Below are 27,532 nucleotides of genomic sequence, written 5' to 3' on the forward strand. Positions count from 1 at the left end.
GTGTAAAATGAGAATTAACTGGTCCTTAAAGTTTGATAAAGCTTACTCTGGTTTGCAGCTTTTGAAGGTGGTAGGAGATTTAAAAATATTTATACAAATTTTCCTTAATTATTGATTATTCCAATTATTGATTATTCCAGTTTTTCTACTTTTTTTTTTTTTTGAGACAGAGTCTCACTCTGTCACTCAGGCTAGAGTGCAATGGTGCAATCTCAGCTCACTGCAACTTCCGCCTCCAGGGTTCAAGCGATTCTCCTGCCTCAGCCTCCCAAGTAGCTAGAACTACAGGCGCCCGCCACCACGCCTGGCTAATTTTTGTATTTTTAGTAGAGAAGGGGTTTCACCATGTTGGCCAGGCTGGTCTCGAACTCCTGACCTCAGGTGATCCAACCGCCTCGGCCTCCCAAAGTACTGAGATTACAGGCGTGAGGCACTGTGCCCGGCCCAGTTTTTCTACTTCTATATGAGATGAATATATTCATTTTAATTTTCTACAAAGATCATATGGGTTTCCAAATGTGTTATCTTAATAAAAAAGTTATGACAATCTTCTTTATAATTGCAGTTATGTTTTTCTTTCTCCCTCCCTCCCTCCTTCTCTTTCTCCTTTCTTTCCCCCCGTCTTTCCTTCCTTCCTCTCTCCCTCCCTTTCTCCTTTCCTTCCTTCCTCCTTACTGTTTATACATGTTGTTTTCTTGCTTGTACTTCCCAAGCTGTATCTATATTTTGGTTTTAAGTTGATAATTTTTACTGTTTTTTCTTTCCTGTTTTATTGAGATACAATTCATATAGCATACAATTTACTCAATTAATTTGTACAAATAAATCGGTTTATTATACTCACAGAGTTGTGCAGCCATCACCACAATCAATTTTTGAATATTTTCATAATCCCTGAAAGAAACTCCATACCCATTAGCAGTCATTTCCCACTTCACCCCCACTCCCTTACTCAGCCCCAGTCATCCACTAATTTACTTTCTGTTCCTATGAATTTGCCTATTTTTGGTATTTTGTATAAATGGAATCCTAAAATATGCAATATTTTGTGACTGACTTCTTTCACTTAGCATTAATGTTTTCAAGGTTGATGCATGTTGTAGCAAGTATCAGCATTTCTTTCATCTTTGTAACTGAATAATACCCATCATAGGATTATACTATATTTTGTTGATGTATTCATCAGTTGAACATTTGGGTTGTATCTACCTTTGACTATTATGAATAATGCTGTTATAAACATGCATTTGCATATGCAAAATTTTGTGTGGATATATGTTTTCATTTCTCTTAAGTATATATATAGGATTTCTGGGTCATATGGTAACTCCATGTTTAATCATGTGAGGAACTGCGAGACTATTTTCCAAAGTGGCTACACGATTTAACATTCCCACCAGCAATGTATGAGGGCTCCAATTTCTTTACATCCTTGCTAATACCTGCTATACCACCTTTCTGATTATAGCTATCCTGGTGGATATGAAGTGGTATTTCATTGTGCTTTTTATTTGCATTTCCCTGATGGTTAATGATGTTGAGCCTTTTTTCATTATGTATTGATCACTTGTATATCTTCTTTGGAGCAATATCTATCCAGATCCTTGGCTCATTTTTTAATTGAGTTATATATTGTTTTATTATTGAGTTGTAGAAGTTCTTATTATTTTCTAGTTACAAGTTCCTTATCAGATATAATTTATAAAATTTTTCTCCCATTTTGTAGACTGTCTTTTCACTTTCTCGGTGGTACGCTTTGAAACACAAAAGTTTTTAATTTTGATTATTTCCAGCTTATCTATTTTTATATTGTTGCTTATGTTTATCTGCTTTTAAAATTTTTTATTTCTGTTTTTTCTAAATCATTTCTTTTTTTAGTATACTTACTCTTTTAATAATTTCATGAACTGAAAGCTCAGAACACCATAAAGATTAAAAGTGCAATGATAAACACTACAAAATTTCTTTTGAGTATCACTTTGGCCAGCAAACAAAGCTTTTGATAAATGTTGTATTTTCAGTTGTAAACAGTCAGCAATTTTTATTCCTATATCTTCATTAACCTGAGAATTATTTAGAGACAAAAAAACAAATTCCAAGATATGTGCTTCATTATTTGGATTATATTTTTGTTTCTTTTCGAATGTATTATACTACATTTAGCAAAGCTGTCTGAAATAAGCTACAATTTCCGTTATAAAATAGTATAATACATGGATTAATTTTTATCAATGTTACATGTAAAGAAGATATACTATTTTTTTCTGCTAATATACAGTCCATGTACTGTTAATTGGGTTGTCCAAATTTTCTACATCCTATGTTACTTTTTTTCTATTTAATCTGTTAGTTTCTAAAAGGTGCTATTGCGATCTTACAGATTTCTCCTTTGAGCACCATCATTTTTTTCTTTATGAACCTCAATGCCTATAGCTGATAAGTTTATAAGAAAAGGCTTAAGGCTATTATGTTCTTGGTGTATTATTAATTTAATATATAAGACAGAATATCCATATAATTATTTTTTGCTTTAAACTTTATTTTGTCTGATATTAATTTTGCTACCCATGTGTGGGTAAAGAGTTAACAGAACCCCTTTCCCTTCTGCATGAGAAATTGAAGTTCAATGAACTTTTTAGCACTAGACTGTGCTATATAATATAGTAGCCACTAGCCACATATGGCTATTTAAATTTAACTTCTAATTAATTAAAATTAAACAAAATTAGAAACCGGTACTTCTAGCCAAGATATAGTAACAGAAACCAGAGTTATCTTCTTCCTAGAGTAACAGAAAAACAGACAAAATAACAATTTGCAAGACACTGTCGGTTAGGCAATAAAACACATGATCCCTGAGAAAGGGAAAGCAACTGAATTGGCTCCTGCAATTGCCTAGCTTATAACCTTAAGAGGGTTTATAGGTTACAGTATATGGAGAGGTCAGCCAGACTGAGCCTGGCAGACTGCATTGAGGCGATGGAGTTGAGCATCCAGGGTCACCAAGTTGGCTTAAGTTCCCAGGAAGAGTAAAAGAGAGAAGAGAGCTGCACAGAAAGGGAATTCTAAAGATCTGCAGAGGGTTTCTTCAGAGTGTTTGGCTGGAGTACTGATCAACACACGCGTATGTGGAAACTACCCAAGCCTGGGCAAATAACTAGCTGACAGCATTACAAGGAATAGCATCCAGTGCTCACACAGGGCCAGGAAGAGTGCCTGTTCCCACCAGCCAGGCTTGAAAACCTCAAGCATCTGAGAACATTGCATAGAGGACAAGGAAGTGCCTTAGTTCAACACCAGGAAAAAAATCCTTTACTGAGCATTTTGCTAGTTCCACCTAACAAACATTAAAAACTAGAACTGAAATAATCAAACTGCTTCCAAGTAACTTAACTGTGTTCATGAAAAAAAGCTCAGGAGTATTTATCAAAATACAGAATCATACAGCACCCAGTAAGGTAAAATTGACAATGTCTAGCACCCAATAAAAAACAATCAAACATGGAAAGAATAAAAACATACAACCCATAAAGAGAAGATAAATCATTCAAAAGAAATAAAAACAGATGTCCATACCAACATTTGTACATAAATGTTCATAGAAGCTTTATGGTAATCATCCCCAAACTGGAAACAACCCAAAACTCTAACAGCTGATGAATGGATAAAAAGATTATGGTATACACATACAACAAAAAAAACTACTCAGCAAGAAAAAGGAATAATATATGCTACAGCATGGGTGAATCTCTATGCTAAATAAAAGATGCTAGATTAAAAAAAGAGTACTTATTGTGTGATCTCATTTATATGAAATTCTTGGAAATGCAAACTAATATATTGTGACTAAAAGCAAATTAATGCTTTTTGCAGGAGTGGGTGGGGAAGGGCAGGAAGGAGAGATTACAAAGGGGTATGAGGAAATCTTTGAGGTAATGGATATCTACGTTATCTTGATTATAGTGATGGTTTTACAGGTATATACATATGTCAAGCTTAACAAATTTTACACCTTAAATATGTATAGCTTATTATATATTAATTATACCTCAATAAAGCTGCTAATAACCGAAAGAAATGAAGGAATCTAAATATCCATTTCCTCAGTCAAACTTCCCTTATTTGAAGTGTTTAATGGTCACACATGGCCAATGGCTACTGTAATGCTCAGATGTTACCACCATTTCCAAAACTTATTTTAGAAGCAACTATTCTAGGAAATTGAGTTTAGGTTCACTTAACTTTCCCTAGAACTGAAGTTGCTGGATCAAATAATATACTCAGTTAAAATTGATACATATTCCAAAATTTTCTACAGAATAGTACATCAATTTACACTTAACCATTAGCATTTAAAAGTCCATTTTTCCCCATGCTTGACAAGAAATAATATGATTTTGACTTTATTTGCACTTATTTGATTACTAATAAGACTAAACTATTTTTACATGCTTATTTTTCTTTTATGACCTATTTGCTTACATTTAGTTTAGGAATTATTAGTGTAATATGAGCAAAAATGCTAGAAAAAAAACTTGTATTAAGAGATTTGAAGGCTGAGCGTGGTGGCTCATGCCTATAATCCCAGCACTTTGGGAGGCCAAGGCAGGAGGATCATGAGGTCAGGGTTCGAGCTCAGCCAGGTGAATATAGTGAAACCCTGTCTCTACTAAAAATAGAAAAATTACTCAGGAGTGGTGGTGGGTGACTGTAATCCCAGCTACTTGGGCGGCTGAGGCAGGAGAATCACTTGAAACAAGAAGGCGGAGGTTGCAGTGAGCCAAAATTGTGCCACTGCATTCCAGCCTGGGCGAAAGAGCAACACTCCATCTCAAAAAAAAAAAAAAAAAAAAAAAAAAAAAGGATATATTATCTCTTCTTATAGGAAGTAAAATCCTTTATTAAACTTCTAAAATCTTACCTCGTCCAAACAGTTGACACGAACATTCTTGCTGGATAATAATGTTCCAGCTTCTTGGACAGTACCTAAAAAAAAAAAAAAGATGAAAAGTAAGGTTATTCGTCACTAGAATAAGAGAAAAATCTAACATCAAGGAAATAAACCTTAAGGAGTTATCTGTAAGAGTACATCTAGTCAGTGTAGGTTGCTAAGAAATGAAACATCCAATCACATACTATTTATTTTACAAAGTAATTGTCCAGTAGAATAGATTTACAGAAACTAAAAATAGCTCCATCTTGTTTTTATTTTCACTGACCTTAAAGTATATTACATTGGCCACATTTTCCTTTTGGCGGTAATACAATAACCACAAAGCATAAGACTTAATACTGAAAAAAAATCTTAAAGGGTATCTAATCCAAATCACCATCTGAAGCTTAAATTCCAGTCAATGTAATACTTGGAATTCAAAATGCAGTCAGTATTTATATAATTTGTCAGCACCACATCTTGTGAATTGATGACATATTTATAATAGAGTGCTTGGTTTGGAAATACTTAGGTGAAACACATCTTCAATGCCTAGTACTACATTACAGTGCTCTATGATCAGTACTCACCACCCTGAAAGTCAACTAATGTAAACCTTAAGGTCACTCCTCTGTAAATTTGGAAAGAAGCTATAATTGGGCCAAAGTTGTCAGGTTTTTCCAGTCTTCTATAAGGCATAATGACAGAAGCATACTTGCAGGAGAGAATGTTGCTATTATCATTAGTACAAGCCAGCCACACATTTTGCCAAGAAATTTCTGGTTTTACTGGGAAGAGAAGAATGAAATTGAATGTGCTGAGGGAGAAAGGCTAAGATAAGCCTCTCCTATAAAAGAACATAAAAGAATAGGTAAGTCTCCCAATCAGGTTATTTCCTCTCTTTAAATTTAGACTTGTAGTGCAAGACTGTGCTAAACTCTGCTAGCCTTCTAGAGTTAAAGGTGAAATGCAAAATAAAGATTAGCATGCTTTTTTCTCTCTGACCCACTTCTTAAGCAAGTCACCTGAGTTCCCCTCACCAACAGAGAAAAAACAGAAACATCTCCTAGATAGAGAAGTAGCTCTGTTGGGAAAATGTCAAGTGAATGATCTACACGTCCCTGGAGTATGATAGCAGCTATTTTTTTTATAAATAATGCATTTTTCTGACCCTGTATTCCATCTGAAAGCAGTTAGTATCACTGGCTGAATCGCTATGCAAGGGCAAAGCTCTTGTGTGTGTGAGCATGCGAGCCAGTTCTACATGAAACCTTATTCGTATCTGTGTCTTCTCATCAGAGACTTTCTCAAAAATCTTTATAGAAGAATAAAACCAGAACAAAAACCCCGCACCCCAGTTTCTCTTGAGGAAGATGCTTCATCCAAATCCCATTCTCTACTGAGAACCAAAGTTATTTTCTTTTTCTATCTGCCCAAGAGATGTTTTTGCAAGAAAGGGAGAATACTATAGTGATTGTAAGCATGTCAAAACCTGCTACATGGGAAGAGTAGAATGGGGATTAAGATCATAAACATTTGGCTCTCATTAGAGAACAGGCTGATAATTCTCTAAGGTGTTTGCCAAATAGCCAACAATCTAAGTTAACATATTCTGTAAGGGAACAATATATTTTAAAGATGATGCATGTATAATGGAAAACAAACTGTTCTCTCCTGCTTAACTCTCACTCAATAGTCTCAATCCTTCACTTCTGACACCAGATATATGGGGTTTCCCCCATAAACACCAAGCAATTCTCCATTGGACACCAATGGGGTATCCTATAATTTAACTCATTTCTAACATTGTTTATCTAAAGTTAGTCAGATCTTACAGGTCAAGGGCTCAGTCCACAAGACCGTCCCCACTTCAGATGCCAATCATAAGCCCCTGTACTTCTGACTGGCTATAAATCAGGGTTCCCATGATCCCCTCCTCAGGTTCCATAATTTGCTAGGACAGCTCACAGAACTCAGGGAAACACTACTTACATTTACCCATCAATTACAAATAATATTACAAAGGACAAAGATGAACAGCCAGATGGAAGAGGGGCAAAGAGCAAGGTATGTGGCACTTGGCACAGAGATTCCATGCTCTTTCCAGGCACTCATTCTTCCAAGAACTTCCACGAGTTCAGCAATCTGGAAGCTCTCTGCAACCTGTAGTTCAGTAATATTTATGCAAGCTTGATTACATAGGTGTGACCTATTATTAAGTCAGTCTTCAGCTCCTCTCCCTTTCCTGAAGATGCGGGGAGGGGTGGAGTTGAAAAATTCAACCTTCTAATCATGGCTTGGACTTTCTCATGACCAGCCCCCATCCTGAAGCTATCCAACAGTCGCCTCATTAGAACAAAAGACATTTCTAACGCCCAGGAAATTCCAAGGGATTAGAAACTCTGTGTCAGGTACCAGGGTCAAAGACCAAATATTAGAACAATAGATGCACCTAGCACCCCATTGTTCAGGAGATTATAAGGGTTTTAGGAGCTCTGTGTTAGGAGCCAGTGGCAGAGACCAAATAGATATTTCTTATTATATCCTACATGTACACGTACCCACAATCACACTAAGGTTAGCCTTTTGAAATGCAGGGGCTGGAATGAGAAAAATAATCTGAAACAGATTGGGCTTCTAGAGGGTAAAAATAGATTTGGAACATGGATGAGCAAAACACTCCAAGAGGAAAAACTGTGATGATTTCCAATTCGGTGTTCACAATGTAATGACATTAGTCGGAAATTATAGAAGGTCCAGAATAGCATGGAAATGTGAAACACATGGCTCACACAGAAGGATTTTTACTTTATGTCATTCCTACTGTCCATAGTAGACTTAAATAATATTTTACAAGTAAGTGTAAAAGATTAATTGCTTTATTCTGGGAAATAAATATGTTAAATCTGATTTAACAAACTGCTGGGGGTGGAAGATAGAGTACTATAAGAAGGGATGTGCAAGGAGCCAACATTTACCTTCATTGGAGATAAGAAACAACAGACCTAAACTAATTAAAGTAATAATTAGTGATTTATTTCCCTTTAGAGAATTCCTCCAACTGCTCAAACCAAAGAAGAAAATACAGCATAACCTGCCTCATTAGGGTGGAATTGATCACTTTATCTGGATGAACAAGCATTTTAGGAGAGAAAAGATTATGTACATAATATTTTCCCAGCATGGACAACATAGTGAGACCCCATCTCTACAAAAAATTTTCTAAAAAATTAGCAAGGTGTGGTGGCATGGACCTGTAGTCCCAGCTACTCAGGAGGCTGAGGTGGGAGGATTGCTTGAGCCCAGGAAGTTGAGGCTGCAGTGAGCTATGATCATGCCACTGTAATCCAGCCTAGGCAATAAAGTGAGACCCTGTCTCAAAAGAGAATGATATTCTTAGTGTTACTGCTCTCTCTTCTACTACATTATAGCTTTTTCAGGAATACTATAAAGTGGAACAAGACCTGCAAAACTTGGCCAGGCATGGTGGCTCACACCTGTAATCACAGCACTTTGGGAGGCCAAGGCGGATGGATCACCTGAGGTCAGGAGTTTGAGACCAGCCTGGCCAACATGGTGAAACCCCATCTCTACTAAAAAAAAAAATACAAAAATTAGCCAGGTGTAGTGGTGCGTGCTCGTAGTCCTAGCTACTCAGGAGGTTGAGACAGGAGAATTGCTTGAACCCAGGAGGAGGAGGTTGCAGTGAGTCAAGATCGCGCCACTGCACTCCAGCTTGGGCGACAAGAGCGAGACTCTGTCTCAAAAAAATAAGTAAATAAATAAATAAAAGTAAATAAAAAGACCTGTAAAACTCTCAGTTTCCTTATCTATGAAATAAGGATAACAATATCCATCCCACAGTTATCTGAGGAGTGTCCTAATGTGGAGCACATATAAGCCTTTATTAGATCTTCTTTTTATTTTGTATTCAGAGCAGCACAATATAATTCATTGTAACATTTCTAATATCTAGATCGGGAACACGGGTCTCTACCAAAGACAAGAAGATGCAGCCAAAACAAACAGAACAGGAGAAACAAACATTCTGTTTTCAGCAATTCATCACACAACCATGAGATTCAAACACGTATAGATTTCAATCGTTATTCATTATTATTGTTTTAATTTTTTATAGATACAGGGCCTTCCTCCATCGCCCAAGCTGGAGTGCAGTGGCATGATCATGGCTCACTGCAGCCTTGAATTCCTGGGTTCAAGCAATCCTCCTGCCTCAGACTCTTGAGGTGCTAGGACTACAGGTGCACGCCACCGCACCCAGCTAATTTTTACATTTTTTGTAACAACGGGGTCTCACTATATTGAGACCCAGGCTGGTGGCAAACTCCTGGGTCCAAGTGATCCTCTTGGATCCTCCCAAAGTGCAGAGGGGTCACTCTACAGGCATGAGCCACTATGTCCAGCTGGATTGCAATCATTATTTATTGGAAGCCACGAAAACGGATATTTTAAGGAATATATAATCAAGTTAAGGATTTAGAAATCTATTTGGCTTTGTTAGTTGTTATAGTGTTTACGTATAAGTAAAATCATGTAAAAATGTTTAAAGTGCCTTAATTTTAAAACAAGAACATATGGATATAGATTTTGATATAATCATAGATATAAAGCTATAAATATATTTTAAAAGTGAAACCCCATCTCTACTAAAAAGACAAAAATTAGCCGGGCGCGGTGGTGCACGCCTGTAATCCCAGCTACTCAGTAGGCTGAGGCAGGAGAATTGCTTGAACTTGGGAGGCAGAGGTTGCAGTGAGCCGAGAGCGCACCATTGCATTCCAGCCTGGGTGACAGGGTGAGACCCTGTCTCACACACAGACACACACACACACACACATAGTGGAGACTTCTAATTATAACATGCATTTTGAAATCGTGAATTTGTGCGATGTTTCTAAAAGGTCTCCTACTCATATCTATTTTTAGACTTTGTAAAAAAATGATCTTAAATTAGTATTACAGAGCACTGTATAAAATTGGGAGTATCTAAAAGAGCTGTTGCTGTGAAAATGAAGACAATGAAGCCCATATAGGTTGCATAACCTGTCCAGCCATCCAACTAATGGTAACCATATATTTTAATTTTTTCTTTGAACTCTGTACTATAATTGGTTATAAGCAGACTTGAATGTTTCTCAACCATAAAGACACCAGAAGTATTATTAACGACACAGGACCTTAGAACAGGATCTTATTTCAATAGTCCCAAATTGGAAACAACAATTGGGCATCAATGGGAATGGATGCACAAATAGTAGTATATCCTTCCACTGGAAATAAAAGAAGAAAATAAGCTACATACTATTGGTACACATAATAAATATGAACCCCAAAATCATAATGTTGAATGAAAGAAGCCAGCCCCCCCTCAAAAAAAGGATACTTATTGTATGATTCTACTAATATAAAATTCTAGAATAGAGAAATCTAATCAACAGAGGCAGAGATCTGTTAGTGGTTGCCTGCAGATGGGGGTGAAGTTAGTGACAGATCACAAAGAGGCATAAGGACTTTTTAGGGGGTGATGAAGATGTTCATTATGTTGATCTTACTGATGGTTTCACAGATGTATGTTTAAATCAAAACTGATTAAAAAGTGTGTACTACCTGTAATATGTGCAATTTATTGTATCTCAATAGTTGGTAAGAAAAAGCCTTATTATCCAAACTTGTTTCATAGCTCCTTTACACAGATATGAAAAAAAAAAAGGAAGTATAATACTTTCTTGTTAGCAACAGTAAGCCCAGGAATTTCAGGTACTAAATAAGAGAAGTAATGTGAAAATTATCTAGCTCATAGCCTTAAAAAAGGTTTAATTTATTTCATAATAGTGCTTGCTCTGAGATTAATGAAAAAGGTATCAAAGCTTAGAAGAATGGGTAACTCTACAAGTCATATAAGCCAGTTAAACACAGTTCAGTGATTTCAATTTCCTCTTACATACTGTTAAATGAATGCTGTCATTAACTATGATTTAAATGGGTATGTTGGAAACAGATTTTCATTTTCATCTGGAACTTCTTGGCATTCTAATAAATAAAAAGCCCCACTTAGAGTCTGTCTTTCTGGAGAGCAGTGGCTGGCAGATGGGAATCACTTAAATATTTGCCGAGTTTATTTCAGATTGACCAAGATGCCAGGCTAGACTTTGCTGAAAAGTTGTTAGTTCAAAGTACTAGAACTTATTGTCTCATCTAGAGTTTTTCAAAGTTGAAAAACGTATGAAAGAAAAAAAAAAAAACTCACTTCACCCACTTTAAAAAAAATGCCTCTTTTTGGCACAAATATAAACTTTGCTTATGGCCTTTCTTCAACTATAAAATAAAAATTTACTTTAAATTTAATGCACACAGAACTACAAAATCAGTAACATTTAAAACTGAGTTAACTTGACAGATGTTGTTTTGCTAGAACTAAATGACCTCTCAAAGTGAATATTGTATGGACTGCTATGGTACTGTTTCATGTTTTGTTTAGTTTGTTTTTAGGTACAGCCTGTTTATTACCTATGGGCCCTGTGATACCTCTGCTCTGCCACTTTCTGCCACTTACCTGTTTGACACTAAGTTTCCTAACTTCCCAGTTCCTCAGTTGCCTTGCCTATAAAGTGAAGATTACTATATTTATCACAAACACAAGCAGTATTTCGAATGCTTTAACTATACTAACTACTTTCATCCCCATAACAACGTTGTGAGGTGGGTATTATTATTATTCCTATTTTTCACACAGAGGACTTGAGGCTCAGGAAAAGTCACTTGCCCAAAGGCCACATCACCAGTAAATGAGTTAGAATTTCAAACCAGACCTGCATGGTTAACCACTATCCCATGCTGTCTCTCATACTGTCATAGCTTAAAATTAATTCCTAGCTCATCCAAATTAAATGCATTAATATATGTAAAGTACTTAAAATTATGTGTGGCTTGCAATAACAGTCAATAAACGTTGGCTATGGTTGTTTTTCTCATATCTCCCATTACTTTTCTTTATGAGTGCAAGTGATGTCCCACAGACCTTCATTTGACAAGAATGCATCACATACTAGGTCCACATCAGTTCTTTTCTCATTGGCATGGTCCAATGAAAGCGATGAAAGCATCAGTGCACTCATGCAACTTGATGCACCGTGTGAGCCCAGAAATATCACAGCACTAACCAGAATAAATGCACATTAATTCAGGTTTATATAATCTTCAAAATAAATACTGATGGACACCTGAGAATGTATCCAAGGAATCCCTTCTCCCCTCTCAAAGACTCAATTTATAAAACTGCTCACTATTTTTCACTTTTAAGAGATCACATGATGGGCCAGGCCCAGTGGCTCATGCCTGTAATCCCAGCACTTAGGGAGGCCGAGGCAGGAGGATCACTTGAGCCCAGGAGTTCGAGAGCAGCCTGGGCAACATAGGGAGACCCCCACCACCCCATCTCTACAAAAAAAAAAAAAAAATCTTTCTAAAGTAGCCGGGCATGGTGGCTCGCACCTGTAGTCCCAGCCACTAGGGAGGTGGAGGCTGCAGAGAGCTGCAACTCCAGCCTGGGTGAAGAGTGAGATCCTGTCTCAAACAAACGAGAGAGAGAGAGAAAGAGACAGCGAGAGCGAGAGAGAGAGAGGACATGTACTAGCTCTGTCCTGCCTAAAAGAATTTTTGTCCCTGGTGGATTGTGAATTGATCCTTTGTCTCCTTTTTGCCCAGCACAGTACCTGGCACACAGCTAGAACTTGCATGTTTGCTTAATTGAATCCCAGAGCCATCAAAGGCAGGGAGAAATTACCTAGAGACAGGAAGAACTGAAAGACTGAAATGCCAAATAGGTCAGCAAGAACCATGCAGTACAACAATCTAAACTCTAACCCAAATCCCCAAATTCCAGGCAAAGAACACATCATTGATAGATATAGCTGTGACTGACTTAGAATAGTTGAGATCAGATCGGGTGGGCTCAGCTCATCAGCACCTGTTGAGTTCAAACCGGAATTTTTTCTCCTTCGCATGTGGAGTTTCCTTGTCGCTATGAAGAATAAATCTGCCTTATTCTCTAGGATTCCACATTTCAGCCTGGCTACTAAGTAAATAAAACTGGAAACTGGGAAGCCTTATGCTGCAATGACTGGCATCTCTGCCATTCGAGGACAAACATGGCTATATTATTATTGAGTTTAAAATCACCACATTAATTGCCCGGAGTCGCACGCATCACCATCCCTGCACCGTGAGGGTGCAGAAGAAGCATGCAGTCACGCTGATGTCACCTGCCAGGTAACGGGACTCGGCAGGGAACTCCTCTGGGACGTCCACTCGGGGACTCCGGGGAAATATGGCTTCTGGCTCGTCCTCGGGGCTCCCCGCTGGGACTCAGCACTGCGGAAGTGGGGCACGCCTTGGGGGAGTGGACAAGAAAGCGCGAAGGAGCGCGATTAGAAGGTCTCATCTGTGCAACGTGGGCCGAGGGGTGGGTGTGGAGGCCTCGCCAATTTCCTTGTCTCTCTAGGGTTCCTGAGGCTGTCGGGGCTTCTGGAAGCCAGGGAGGCCCTGGATACGGAAGTCTCAATGCAGCAAATTACAGACCTAGTTCTGTACCCTTATGAAGAACCCCTCTCCCTAAGGGCGCCCTCCACTCCCAAGCGGGGGCGGGGATCGGCAAAGGATCCAGATCATTCGGCCTGCGGAAGTCTAAAGGGTCATTTAGACACCCGCCTAAGAACCTGAAACTACCAGGACTGACCGCGGTCAAAATCCCTCGGGAGCAGTGAAGAATTCACACACTGGGGTCCACACCCCGGGAAGCTCGCATTAACCTAAGGCGGGGCGTGGAAATCCGTACGTTTCCAAAAGCGGATTTAGAGGCCGAGCCTCTGTAACTACCCCTCTTGTCCCAGCACTGCTTCTGCCTCCCCACCTCTCCGCCCCTGCAACCTTTCCCAGACCAAAGGGAGAAACGCTCTTTCCCGGTTCCAGGCTGCAAACCTTGCAGAACCGCAGCCAAAGGTCACCCAGGCCAGGAGCGCCCCCCGGGCTCCGCCACGCCCCCCGGCCAGGCTGGCCGCGGCCGCGTCGCAGCCCAGCACCCGTACCTTTCCCGATGACTTCCAGTAGCTCCTTCTCCTCCTGGGTCAGCTCGCCTTTCTTTATGTGAACCATTGCTCCCGCCAGCTTGAAGGTTATTCCCTTTCTTAGGGAGTATTAAAAAAGAAACGATGCGTCTGTATTGGGAACGCCAGCCGCAATGAGGCAACTTGAGACCAAGACACTGAGTAGCCAACCGCGGAAACGCTTCGCTTCTCTCCTCCCTCCCGCGGGCTGGCGGACAGCGGGCGAGCTCGGGCGAGCCAGGCGGACGGTCTCCGCAGGCCCTGCGGCGGTCACCGCCTGCCGCCTGTCATTGGCCCTGCCGAGGAGGAGGAGCCGCAGGAGGCGGTAGCGAGAGATCGCCATTGGAGCAACCTGGGAGGACAAAACCAAATGCAGAAAGCTGGAGGGGGGAATTAAATTCCTCCTACACGTTCCGCTCCCCTATCCTGTCCGGTTCAAATATTTCGCCACATGTAATATTGAAAATTCTACAGCTGGCAGTTATGTGCTCAGCGACGGCTTTCTGGGGCATGCAGAGGCCCCAGGTTGTCGCCGTACCCCCACCATTCCCCCGGGAGTGGCGCAGTCTGGGCGGGGGCGGTCTAGGAGACGGGGGCGGTACGGGAGGCGGGGCTGCGCCGGGTTCCGTGTGTCTATGTCAATGTGTCTGTCCTTCACTCCTCCATTGTCTGCCGCCACTGCTGCTGCTGCTGCTGCTGCCGCTGCTGCTGCACGAATCGCCGCAGCCCCCAGCCTTGCGCGTCGTCGCTACCTCCTCGGACAGGTGAGAAGCAGCCCAGGTGAGGCAAGGGGCGCCGTGAGGGTTGCGAGAGTAGCGACTGCCGCCCCGCCGGGGTTTCCATCGGGCAGGAGCTGGCGGGGAGGAAGCATGTGCCTCCTGGGGCGGCTTCCTGCCTCGCGGTGGAGAAGCCCCCGCTCCACCTCATCATCACGGCGCGTACGGGGTATCAGTGCCCTGGGATGAAGACCTCCGACTCGCAACGTTTGGCCGCCTCGGGAGACCCTGGGACCGCGGGCGGGCGGGCGGGGGCCAGCCACGCGGTGGGAAGTGGCGGGTGCACATGGTCTCGTGCGTGGCACCGCCAGATGCGGCTCCCGGGGAGGCTGGGGCCGGGGCTCTGGGCTAGGTAGGGGTCGCAAGGACAGCGCCCCATTACTAGCGAGTCAGTGAGAACAGACTCGGGAGAAGGTAGTTTTTACGCTGGTGATCCTCGCCCTCCCCACTACTTGTCATCTCTTTGGCCTCTGTGGAAGCTGTAGAAGAAAACCTGATCGCCCAATGTTGCTTGTTAAAGATGTTTGGAAACAATTTACACTTGCACTAATACTTCGTTTATGAGAGACAGCCTGTGGGAGGGGGAAGGAAGGGCTTCTTTGCTCTGCTAGAGTTCTCGGTTCTCTTTGTAACTCAGATCTTGAGATTTATGGAAATAGGGAGTGGAGGGTGGGGAGGTTGGAGAGGGCGGAGATTAAATTGGTGTTGCTGCCTATATATAGCCTTAGATTAGCCTCTTAATCCAACCTTCATTCAACTGTAATATGTAGCCTGGAGCTTCGACCATAGGTAGATGGGGGTAAATACAAGTGTGTATTTCAGAATAAGATTTGCTTGCTAAAATGCGGGAATCAGTCATTTCTCCAGGGTGCAGATTTATATTTACATCATCAATGAAAGTTTCTTTGGAAATTAGTGTTTATGTTTTACTGTTGTTTCCCTACAGAGTAGTATTGATGTTTCTCTCAATATGTGTGTCAAAGAGACGTGTATGTGTCAAAGAGAAATATTTGAGTAATTATGTAGGTGGTTTTTGTTAAGCATCCCCAGGACCACTGTTTCTTCTCATAGCGCCATACGAAAAGCGAAATGCATTTTCCTCTGGCCTTAGGCATTTATTTTGCGTGAAGCTTTCACTAACATCTGAAATCTCCTGGAATATGTTTATCATTATTTCCTGCCTTTAGCAAAAATCTTTCCTAAACTCCAGCTGTTTTTCCCCCCTAAAGCTTCAGCATTAAAGACTGGGACAGATCTGAGCCAGAACATCTTACATGAAAATGGTTTGAAATTATTCATCTCAGTGTATAACAAAGATACTTTTGTTGGATGATGCTTTAATAATGATGTGGCTGTTCAAGCAAGTAGTAAGGCTCCTGAGAGTGACCAATCTTTTGTAATGCTGTTAGTTCAGAGTTACAATTGATTTATAACATAGTATCATGCGGAAGAAACCCACAAACCTAAAAAAACAGTTGAGTGGTAACCTCCTGGAACATGTGATTTAGCATCTTACCAGCAGATGCATACACATAATTGGGTACTTCATTGCTAGTATTTCCATCTCTTGTGCCAAATCTGGGCCATGGTTACTTGAAGGTCACACCTGTTTGTCTCACTGGGGTTGTCAGTTCCTCGAGGATAGCAGCTTACTATCTATTTTCTTGATGCCTTATGACACTTGGTTGGTATTTAGTGCTCTCTGAATACATGACCAGTGAATTTAGAGACAATAACGTTGAAAGAGAATCTAACATCTACCTAGAAATGCAAATAAATCATGTTCAGTTTACATTTCTAGAAACAGATTCATAATGGGTACTGTTCATTAGATGGATTGATTACATTAGTAGTTTTGTATGGTGTAAATATTTAATGTAGGGATAAGATTAGATAATGAGCATATTAAAACAGATTCACATCAAAGAAGTTTTATTGATAATAAGATAGCTACTTCATATTGAGTATTTAGTCTGTGCTAGATATTCTACCAGATGCTTTGCATAGAATTATTCTAGTGTTATGACAACCCAGGAATGAGCCAATATTATACCCACTTTGCAAATAAGAGGACAGAAAGTAAGGGAAATAATTTGCCCACAATCCCATATTAGGAAGTGTCAAGTCAGAATTGGAATAATGATTTCTGAAATGTTTGAAATGTTGTATGTGTCCTCTCATATCTACCACTCTAGAGCTATTGCAATGCATCTTAAGTAGCCTGCTTCTCTCTCACCTGTCTCCATCTAGCTAATTCAGGGAACTACCAGTTCAATAAACATTGAGCACCCATCATTCTTTGAATGGCTCTCTGCTGGCCACAGAATAGAGGGCTGGGTCTGGCCTGGAAGGTTCCAATCCATCCATGGTCTCAGCAGGCATTTCCAGTCATCTGGGCCCTCCCACACACTGGGCTCTAAGGTCACCACTCTGCTTGTTCCCCAACCTGCCGGTAATTTCCACCCCTTTGTTCCTGCTTTTCTCCTCCTCTGAATGATTTCCCTTCCCTTTTCACTGAATCTCCTCTCCAGATCTGATGAACTATTCAACTTTCCAGACACAATTTAAACAAAACCTCTTTTCTTCAGCTTTTGTGTTCATCTCTCCCTCTCTATCCAGTAAGGGAAATATACATGCTAGTAAATACATTTATTCATGTCTCTTGGCAAGGGTTATAAGTAAAATCTTTGTACATGGAGGATATTGATATGCAACATGGCTACTGGTATCATTGCTGGCAGCCTTTAATTCTCTCTTCTTATGGATTCTAGCGACCCCTCTTTTACCGCCCCCCTAAATTGACATCATTGCTTCTTCATCTGAATCTCCATGAAAATACCTAAAACAAGCACTTTCTCATCGCATTCTATTATAGTTATTATTAATCTGTTTGGTCCCTTCTCATTCTACAGTATACATTAACTAGGTCAAATTTATCTTTGTTTCTCAGGTTTAACCCAGTGTCTTGCACCTAGTGTATGCTCAGTACAAGCTGAGTTGAATTCAGTTTGATTTCTAAGTTATTTTAGGTGGATTTGTTTTCCTACTTGACTAATCCTTCCTGGCAATGTGAGGTGAGGTGGCACTAAGCACGCACAATCATAACCAGAGGCAGAAAGTCTTTAAATGTTTTGGATCTCAAGCTTCTTGACATTCTGATGAATGCTATCAACCAAGAAAAATTGTTCTTGTGCACATGTTACAAATTTGGCATGCCATTCTTAGATTTCCCCATTAAAGACCCTGATTTCCAGCTCTCTACATTAGGAGAATGCTGCCTTTTTGTTGCATTTTTGAGTATTACATCTTTCAGGGTACTGTTTGTCTTGACATTTGACTTTTTTTCCTTAGACTTAGGTATCTTTATTGACTGGATATTTGATAATAAGAAATTTTGATTTTTTTAAGTTGGAAGTAGATTACGGTTATATTTTTAAAAGATTACTTATCTTTTAGAGATAGGAACAGAATTATTTCAGAACTGGATGAGAAGACAGCTGAGATTTGCTTTAATATAATTCTGTGACAGAAAGGAAGAGAGACTGAATGAGAATATAAATGAGATAAAATTGACTATGTTAACAGTTGAAGATGGGTGATGAGTATATTCACTTGATTATACTGTTCTCTCTACTTTTGGATATATTTGAGATTTTCCATAATGAAGTTTTTAAAAAGAAAATTTGGAAGTATTACAGCCTCTAAGAAATCTTTTTTTTTTAAACACAACATAAGAAAGTAATATAAATACAAATGTTCTTTTTTCTATACTTGGAGTTTCGCTTATGTGATTATTCATTTAAGTGTTAAAACAGTTACACCTAAATCTGCAAAGAACTGTCTTGTGAACAATGCGTTTCCATAAACATTTGACATCACATTTTAACTTCTCCAAAAAGTAAAAGGTTGGTGGCATTACTCAGTGCTTGTAGAACAAATTGATGAATATCTTACTGGTAGTTAATCTTCATCTTTTTTGAAAAGAAAATTCTGAAGAAGGGGTACAGATACATTTAGTTTAACTGAGAAAATCAAGAGGTGAATGAAGTGGAGATACTGATGTTCTTCTGTGCGTCATAATCCAACTCAGAAGGCATTCCAAAAAAAAAGAGTACCAAAACTGTTTCGAGCAATGTCAGCACTGATAGGATAAGTATTAGTCTAGGAAAATCAGGAGCAGGCCCAGGACAGGGTGTGACTGGTAGGTTCTTACTCAGTGTTTGCTTAGCTGAATACTTAATCTGACACCTACTTTCTAATTTGTGCAATTTTTTAAACTGATTTTTTGATCTTTACAATTTTTTATTGTGTTTTAGATATATTAAATGTCCTTTATAACATGTCATCCTAGACTTTGGGATTTTACAAGAATATTTAATTAATATGAAATCCACCAATCTTAGCAGGTCATAAACAAGAATACTTTTCATTCTTAACTCACTCATTTCTGTGTATTGAGGCCATGGCGCTCTTTAGCAAGTATCTTTTGGGCAGTTAGGTGCCGAGTGGAATGATTTGCCCCGTTCTAAATTTGGCGTGTATTAAGTGAAGAGTGCCAAAATTGTTCAGGTAGTCATATTTGTAAACTATCTATTTTGAAAATAAAGATTTGAATAACTCATTGAATGAACCATTCTTTAAGGTTAAATGCCAAAAAGATAATGTTCTCATTATTCTTTCTTGATTTTTAGCAATAGGTGTTTCCATTGATGTTTTTTAAGTTTATTCAAAAATTAAAGGAAAAAAGTATAATGACAAAAAGAAAGAATAATGCCCTGTATTAATATTTAAGATAGTATAATCCTTTGGCTATCTTTAATTCCATTCTGAAAATATTAATATTTTAGTAGGAAAACAATAACTTAAGATGTAGAATTATTTTTTGTGTCAGATGTAGCATTATATTTTCTTTTTACATCTCAACTTATTTTTATGCTAGATGAGAACTTTAAAAAATATAACAGGTGTACTGTTATTTTTGAGGACTTCTAAATAAATCTCAAGAAAAGCCCTGGGGCAGAGATGAATAATAAGGGATAATAACGTTTAGCACTGTAGAGAATATATCATAAGCTACTATTGGATGATATTCTACTGTCATCCTTTTTATATATCCACACAGAAGACTTTAATGGTTTTCAAACTAACCTGGATTTATGGTCATTTCTAAGAAGAAAAAAGAAATGTTATATGTTTTTCTCAGTGAACAAGGTAATTGAATGGGACTATTATAAACAGGAAAGAGAACCCCTAGTTGTCGGTGCAGAGGAAACTGCTGGCTGGAGGAAAAGGATGCGGTGTTAGTATTTGGGAGTGTGAAGATTGTGTTTGTGTTAGAGTTGAGCTTCTGCAGGAAACAATTTAAAAACTGTATCCTATAGTGCTAGAAATTATGGTGCCATAAATTTTCTAATATTCGTATGTCCCTAAGAGGCAATATTGTTAAATTCTCTCTCTAAAGATAAATGCCTTTTCCCCCCCACCGCTTAATAGAACTCTATGGAGAACTCTTTGGTATTTTGGAAGTAACATATGCTAATTCAATTTATCCAAGTGCTGAACTCAACTTTAAATTAATATTTATGCGCTACTCCATCTTATTCCAAACTATAAAATTTATGAGGCAAATAATGAAAAAGCTGTCTTCGAGAATCATATAAATAATTCTCTAAGACATTGCAACAGCTTTAGTTGGCTCCTTGGAAAATGCACTGAGTGGAGACAGTGGATCAGGTTCTGGCCCCAACTCTTCCATGTACATAAGCTCCAGATGGGCAGGGATCGTTCTGCTTTGATCTCCACTGTCTTACCAATGCTAGAATGGAATTCCTGACCTCAGCCAAGTGGTTTGACATCTCAGTGCCTTATCTGAAGGTTAGCTTAGGGACTGGGCTTACATCCATGGTTTTCAAAGTATTCCATTCCGCGTGGATGCCACTTGTAAGTTACAAAGTAAAAAAACACGCACTTAATTATTAAAACGTTAATAAACACAACTGCATCTCGAATGCATCATATGTTGTCTTTAAACATACTGGAGACAATCAGTGCTTGCTAACTTGTTCTGCCCGATTGTGCAATACTTGGAACAAAGCTCCACCTGCTAGAAAGTGACCTCCATGAAATTTGCCTGATTTAGTGCTTGCTGCATCCCTATTGACTAGTACCAGACCTGGTATATTTGGCAAACAAATAAATGAATGATTCTCTGTAGGTTTAAACCTTTTTCTTTTGAGACGGAGTTTCGCTGTTGTTGCCCAGTCTGGAGTGCGATGGTGTGATCTCGGCTGACTGGCTGACTGTAACCTCTGTCTCCTGGGTTCAAGTGATTCTCCTGCCTCAGCCTACCGAGTAGCTGGGATTACAGGCGCCTGCCACCATGCCTGGCTAATTTTTGTATTTTTAGTACAGACGGGGTTTCACCATGTTGGCCAGGCTGGTTTCGAACACCTGACCTCAGGTGATTCGCCCGCCTTGGCTTCCCAAAGTGCTGGGATTACAGGCATGAGCCACCATACCTGGCTTAAACCTTTTTAAAATGTATGATTCAGAGAGCTTGTAGCTCTGTACTAGTTCTTTTTTATTTCCTTTAATTCAATTTTGTATGGTCCACTTCTGTAAAGTTGTGTTGGGGAATCCAGTCCCATGTCATCAGCGTGCCCTAGACTAGGCTTGGCATTTCTATCCAGTTCATGCTCTCATTATGTAATAAGCATGCATATGGAAAGTAACTTTGTGTGTGTGTGTGTGTGTGTGTAGCCCTTCAAATAAAGCTTCACCTGCTAGACAGGCTTGGGCAGGTCCCCTTCTGGGAGGATGGGAGTTTCTTGGTTGAGAGAACTAGTAAGTGAGCCAATATTTGGACTCATGCCCACCACCACCTTTGAGCTTCCTGAAGGTCCACTATTACGATTTTTAAGCAATTGCTCCAAAACAGAATTCTCTCACTGTCTACCAGTCTAGGCCTTACTTTTCTTTTTATTTCTTTTTTTTCTGAAGATTTTATTTTCCTCTTTTCCATGATTAAAAATCCTCTGAAGAGAGGCAAACACTTCAACACTCTTTTACTTTAATAACTTGTCTTCTGACTTCCCACTGGAGTAATAGTCACCAACACTCCCATCAGTTTTGTGTCTGTCTTAAACTAACTTGCTCTCTGGCATTGCCACTCCACTTCTTGCTGATTTTCATCTCCTGGTTCTCCTCACCTCAGTTAGCAAGGCCAGTGTTGTGTGTGCTGTCCATAGCTCCTTTCCTCTAGGTGGAAAGTAAATCTCATATAAAATCATCTTTCTCCTCTACTATGTAAAGCTCAACATGTATTTAGGTATCTTCCAGTGAAAAAGCACTTTTCTGGAGGAAGGAACATTGGAGATGAGAATACTCATTAATAATAAATATTACTTTTGTCTTCAGTGGAGGTGAAAATCTCGAATGCATAGGCATTTTCTAAAAGGTTACATAGGATGATGTTAAAGGGTTTAAATTATTATCATCTCCATGGAGTGGGGCTAGGATATAAGGTCAAGAGTGAAAGATTGGGAAGAGCACTACCCTTCTGTACTGTGTTGGGGTTTTTTGTTTGTTTGATTTTGTTTTGTTTTTGCCATCAGTGTGTTATTACTTTAAAGTTTTAAATCACTAGTTAAAATAATATAGAGACTGGCTGGGCATGGTGACTCATGCCTGTAATCCCATCGCTTTGGGTGGCCAAGGTGGGCAGATCACTTGAGGCCAGGAGTTCGAGACCAGCCTGGCCAACATGGCAAAACCCCATCTCTACAAAAAAAAAAAAAAAAAAAAAAAAAAAATACAAAAATTAATTACTTGGGAGACTGAGGCACGAGAATCCAAGGGAGGCAGAGTTTGCAGTGAGCTGAGATTGTGCCACTACACTCCAGCCTGGGTGACAGAGTAAGACTCTGTCTCAAAAAGTAATAATAATAATATAGAGACCATCTTGCTTTTTTCTAAGCTTAAAATTATAATATTATTAACAAATTTCAAGGACATTTCCTTCTCTATAAGAGTTTCTGCTTTTCCTAAAGTGATGCAATGGAACAGATGACTTTTAAAATAAAGATTCAGAGAATATCACTGAATCAAGTTATATAACTCCAAGTCCAAATGCAAATCATTTTTAAATTGTATTTTAGCATAATATGAGAAAAGATGGTAGAATTTAATTTTAATTTTTTTCTGTATATAACCCCCCCCCCCCAAAAAAAAACGGATGATATTTATTTATTTATGAGACGGAGTCTTGCTCTGTCAGCCAGGCTGTGATACAGTGGCATGATCTTGGCTCACTGCAACCTCTGCCTCCAGGGTTCAAGTGATTCTCATGCCTCAGCCTCCCAAGTAGCTGGGGTTACAGGCGTGCAACACCATGCCTGGCTAATTGTTTTTTTTTTTTTTAGTGGATACACGGTTTCACCATGTTGCCCAGGCTTGTCTCAAACTCCTGACCTCAGGTGATCCGCCTGCCTCAGCCTCCCAAAGTGCTGGGATTACAGGCATAAGCCACCGTGCCCAGCCTGTATACTATACTGTGTTTAAGTGTGAACAGTGGTCATTACTGAAAGTTAGACTGATAGATTTTTTCTAATTTTTCCTTAAATATTCTATAATATACATGATGAGCTGACCTTATAATCAGTGATTTTTAAAGGTTACCTCTCACTTTCAAATAAAGATGCTGTTGTTTCTCAGCTTAATCACCTACTTTTTTGCTTCTGTTCAGTATTTTGTCATAAAAACCTGGTTGGACACACCAGATAGCTTCAAAGTGGCCACCTACTTTTTTCAATGGATTAGACTCTGAATGATCTCTGGCGACTTTCTAAAATTAAATCCTCTATCAAACAAGGAAATTTCTCATCATTGAGTATAGTCAAAAGAATGATCTGTAGACTCCAGAGGAAATTCTAAAAAAAGTTTCATAAATCTATTAATTAAAAGGGGTTTTGTTTAATGGAAGCATTATTAGTTCATAGTTTTTCTTTATTGAAGGAAGAAATTACTTTGATGGGTAAATGCTGGAAAATGTTTTTTTAAATTACTTAAGTTACTATGTAACATTTTTGTTTTTAACTGACATATAGTAATTTTTCATATGTGGGGTACAGTGTGGTGTTTCCATATACATATACATTGTGTAATAATTAAATCAGGGTGATTAGCATATTCATTACATTGAACACTCATCATTTCTTTCTGGTAAGAACAATCAAAATCCTTTCTTCTAGCTCTTTTGTAGTATATGATACATTATTGTTAACTATAATAACTCTATTGTGCAATAGAACACTAGAGCTTATTCTTCCTAACTGTAACTCTGTACCTGTTCACCAATCTTTCCCCATCCCCACCTCACTCCTATTCTCCTGTCTCCAGGAAACTACTATTCTACTCTCTACTTCTGTGATACCAACTTTTTTAGATTCTACATGAGTGAGATCATATGATATTTGCCTCCCAAAGTGCTGGGATTACAGATCGGAGCCACCATGCCATGCCCTAAAATACATATGGCTTCCTGTGTTTGCCATTGCTCCAGGGTTCTATGTGTACATAATCAGTTTTATTTCTTAATCATTTGAGAGTAGGTTGCATACACTTTCTGCCTTTATCTCTTATTTCTTCAGTATTTATTCTGTAAAAATAAGATACTTTTCTTACAGAACCACAGTGCAAAAAAAAATTCAGTAAATTTTAACATAGATACCATAATTTTATCTTTATACTCCAACTTCTTAGGTTGTCTCAATAGTCATATATATGTGTGTGTGTGTGTATGTATATATACATATATATGTGTGTATATATATAAATGACTATATATATATATACATAAATATTTTTTCCCAGTACAGCATTCAGTCCAGGAATGTGTATTGCATTTAGCAATGCACCTTTAATTCTCCTGGAACAGTTCTTCAACCTTTGTTTTGGAAAGACGTTATCATTGATGAAGAATACAGACCAGTTACTTTGGAGAATGTCCCTAGATATACATCTGTTTCCTCATGATTAGCTATTCAGGTCATGTGTTTTTGTCTGGGGTACCACATGAGCAATATGTCCTTCTAAGTGTAAAACATCTGGAGTTGTAGTGATTGTATGTTGTCCTTTGGTTAAGGTATGGTCTTGTTTTTCCAATATGTAGTTATATTTTTAAAAAAATTTATGTGAAGATGCTTGGAGGCTATGTAAGTATCCTGTTGATCATCAAGCACTCCCCAGCGCGCGCGCGCACACACACACACACACACACACACACACACACACACACACAAGTAGGTTTAGCATACATTGATTACTCTTGCATGAATCAGTTTTTTATTTAATTGTTGCAAAATGGTGATTTTCTAATTCAATGTTTCATTCTCTGTTTATTAGTTGACATTCTACTGAAGGAAAATCTTTCACTTACTTCCCTTTCCTTGTGTACTGAAAAATTTGTTTTCTTTAAAATGAAGCTAAAAGTTATGAGCATGGACCTATGGGTTTGTATTTTTTTGAATGGGTTATTAGCTATTATCCTTAGTTATTTGGGTCCTCAAATTGCCCTGGGCTAGGCCAGTGGAATTGTCCTCAAGATGGCTCTTATGTTGTTTTGATCTAGCTTGATTTTTTTTTAGACACTTTTGAATTTGCCAACACAAGACATCCCAGGATCATAGTGAATCTCCCCTGCTCCAGCCTTGGAGTCAGCCATTTATCCAAGAAACTTTGGTTTCTCTCAGTAGGGAATGATAGTTAGATCCTGTGGCACATATCTTTTTATGCAAAAATGTTATTATTGCTCGTGACTCTTTGAGAATTGGTTTGAACTTCAAAAGAGGTTAAAACGTTTTCACTTAAGTATATACAATTTTCTAATTATAGAAAGGATATGCATTTATTTTACAGAAAATATAGACAAGTATAGGTAAGAAGAATAAGAGGTGCCTTGAACCCACTACTCATGTTGACCACCATTGGACGTAAATGTATTTTACATAGCCAAGATCACATCATGTATATAGAATATTGCATTTTGCTGTATCTACATAGCATGTCATTGTTTTCTCAAAGTCATAGAAATTAACATTTTTAAGTCACACATTGTATATTAAAATTTCTCTTTTCTTTCTTGTTTTTGTTTCCATTGATGCAATATCCTAAAGTAGAAAAAGTTTGTCTGCTGGTGTTGAGCTTCTTTTTCTGCTCTCTTTAAAACCCATATTCTTGCCTATCCTCTGCCCTTCCACTAAATTGCATAAGATGTAAAATTACCAATTTCAGAAATAAATTGTTAGTATCAGAGACTGGGAAACATGTATTTTGTACATTCTAACTGTACTTTTGGTTTGAGATATGACTATCTAGTGATAAACTTTTTTTTTTCTAAAATTTGACACCAGTATTTGGCAAATACGAGTAAGTAGTTCAATAAAATATGTGCTTAGTTGCCACTGGTATGTTCAGATCTGGGTGCAAAATTTTCAGCCCTTGAGAGCAGGGACCACCTCTGGCTTTGCTCACCATTGTTTCCTCTCTACAGTAGGGTTTCTCAACCTCAGCACTTCACTGACATTTCAGACCTAAGGGTCTTAACGTATCGAGAGCAGAAGTTTTAGGGCATTTTGTTAAAGTACCCTGAAACATTATATTTGAGGGACGGGTTTTCTAAAAGCCAAAGTATGCTACAATGTGGGTAGTGTATATGTGTTTGTGTCTTCAGAGTGTTGAAAGACCTAAGAATGACATCAGTAAAATTAGACCATCTGGAAGATTGAATGAGCTGGCTAGCCCTTGGGGGAAGGGCAGGGCCTGGGAGATAACCCATCTGGGGAAAGTGCAAGGGCCCAGAGGAAGGAATGCACATGCCTTAAGGGACCTCTTAGAAAAGTAGAATTGCAGTAACTAGAGACCAGGAAGTGATTCCTAGAATGAAAGGATTTTAGGAATTAATTTATACTTCTTAAAAGTTTTTGAAAATAGCTTCACTGAGATAAAGTAAGTGACATTGTGTAGTTGCCTTAATTTGTTTCTACATGGATATTTAAAATGTAATTTTTGTAATATTTTTATTTTTATTTAAAAGGAAATTTTAAAAACAAGCATTCAAGCATTTACAACTTAGGTCTTCTAATTAGTTTAAGGTGTAAAGTAGTTTTGGAAGTATTATAATAAAATGAAAACTTTCTCATGGTGCCTTTATGTTTTCTGAAAGGAGATTTGCATTAACAGCTCTAAGGGAAAAATAAGGTCAAATGCTCTTTTTTCTAATATAAAAATATTGCTGTCGGCCAGGCGCAGTGGCTTATGCCTGTAATCCCAGCACTTTGGGAGGCCGGGGTGGGCAGATCATGAGGTCAGGAGATTGAGATCAGCCTGTCCAACATAGTGAAACCCCGTCTGTACTAAAAATACAAAAATTAGCCGGGCATGGTGGCGTGCAACTGTAATCCCAGCTACTTGGGAGGCTGAGGCAGGAGAATCACTTGAACCCAGGAGGTGGAGGTTGTAGTGAGCCAAGATCGCACCACTGCACTCCAGCCTGGGCAACAGAGCAAGAATCCGTCTCAGAAAAATGTATATATATATATATATTTATATGTTGCTGTCATTTCCCTATTCCTTTCATTCTTATCCTGAATAATATAAAAGAATAAAAATAACTTAAAAAAAAAAAGCATTAAACAGGATCAGGT

The 27,532-nt window shown here is 38.7% G+C and overlaps 2 protein-coding genes across 4 annotated transcripts in view, besides 3 other annotated features; one reads left to right on the forward strand and one right to left on the reverse strand.

Moving 5' to 3' along the window:
* ANKMY2 (ankyrin repeat and MYND domain containing 2) overlaps positions 1–14,285 on the reverse strand; it is a 45,976-nt gene extending 31,691 nt beyond the window's left edge. The window contains exons 1-2 of the mRNA NM_020319.3: positions 14,038–14,285; positions 4,922–4,986 (exon numbers count right to left, since the gene is read on the reverse strand). Of these exons, the coding sequence (NP_064715.1) occupies positions 4,922–4,986; positions 14,038–14,104 (132 nt within the window). The 5' untranslated portion in view covers positions 14,105–14,285. The remainder of the gene's footprint in view (positions 1–4,921; positions 4,987–14,037) is intronic.
* Positions 14,412–14,691: an enhancer, noted in NCBI's record as "active region_25669". NCBI's record gives its function as "activates an Ori minimal core promoter by ATAC-STARR-seq in GM12878 lymphoblastoid cells {active_cell/tissue: GM12878}" and the evidence as "EXISTENCE:reporter gene assay evidence [ECO:0000049][PMID:35858748]".
* Positions 14,712–27,532, forward strand: part of BZW2 (basic leucine zipper and W2 domains 2) — a 60,337-nt gene continuing 47,516 nt past the window's right edge. For 2 of the 3 annotated variants that reach the window (NM_001159767.2, NM_001362718.2), the window contains exon 1: positions 14,712–14,835. The gene's annotated coding sequence lies outside the window, so the exon portion shown is untranslated. The remainder of the gene's footprint in view (positions 14,836–27,532) is intronic. The other variant, NM_014038.3, reaches the window with a different exon arrangement.
* Positions 16,886–17,397: an enhancer, noted in NCBI's record as "NANOG hESC enhancer chr7:16687980-16688491 (GRCh37/hg19 assembly coordinates)". NCBI's record gives its function as "activates a minimal SCP1, AML or CMV promoter by ChIP-STARR-seq in primed H9 embryonic stem cells {active_cell/tissue: H9 hESC(primed)}" and the evidence as "EXISTENCE:reporter gene assay evidence [ECO:0000049][PMID:30033119]".
* Positions 26,283–26,866: an enhancer, noted in NCBI's record as "NANOG hESC enhancer chr7:16697377-16697960 (GRCh37/hg19 assembly coordinates)". NCBI's record gives its function as "activates a minimal SCP1, AML or CMV promoter by ChIP-STARR-seq in naive and primed H9 embryonic stem cells {active_cell/tissue: H9 hESC(naive and primed)}" and the evidence as "EXISTENCE:reporter gene assay evidence [ECO:0000049][PMID:30033119]".

The sequence above is a fragment of the Homo sapiens genome, chromosome 7 (assembly GCF_000001405.40).
Source record: "Homo sapiens chromosome 7, GRCh38.p14 Primary Assembly".
NCBI lineage: Eukaryota > Metazoa > Chordata > Mammalia > Primates > Hominidae > Homo > Homo sapiens.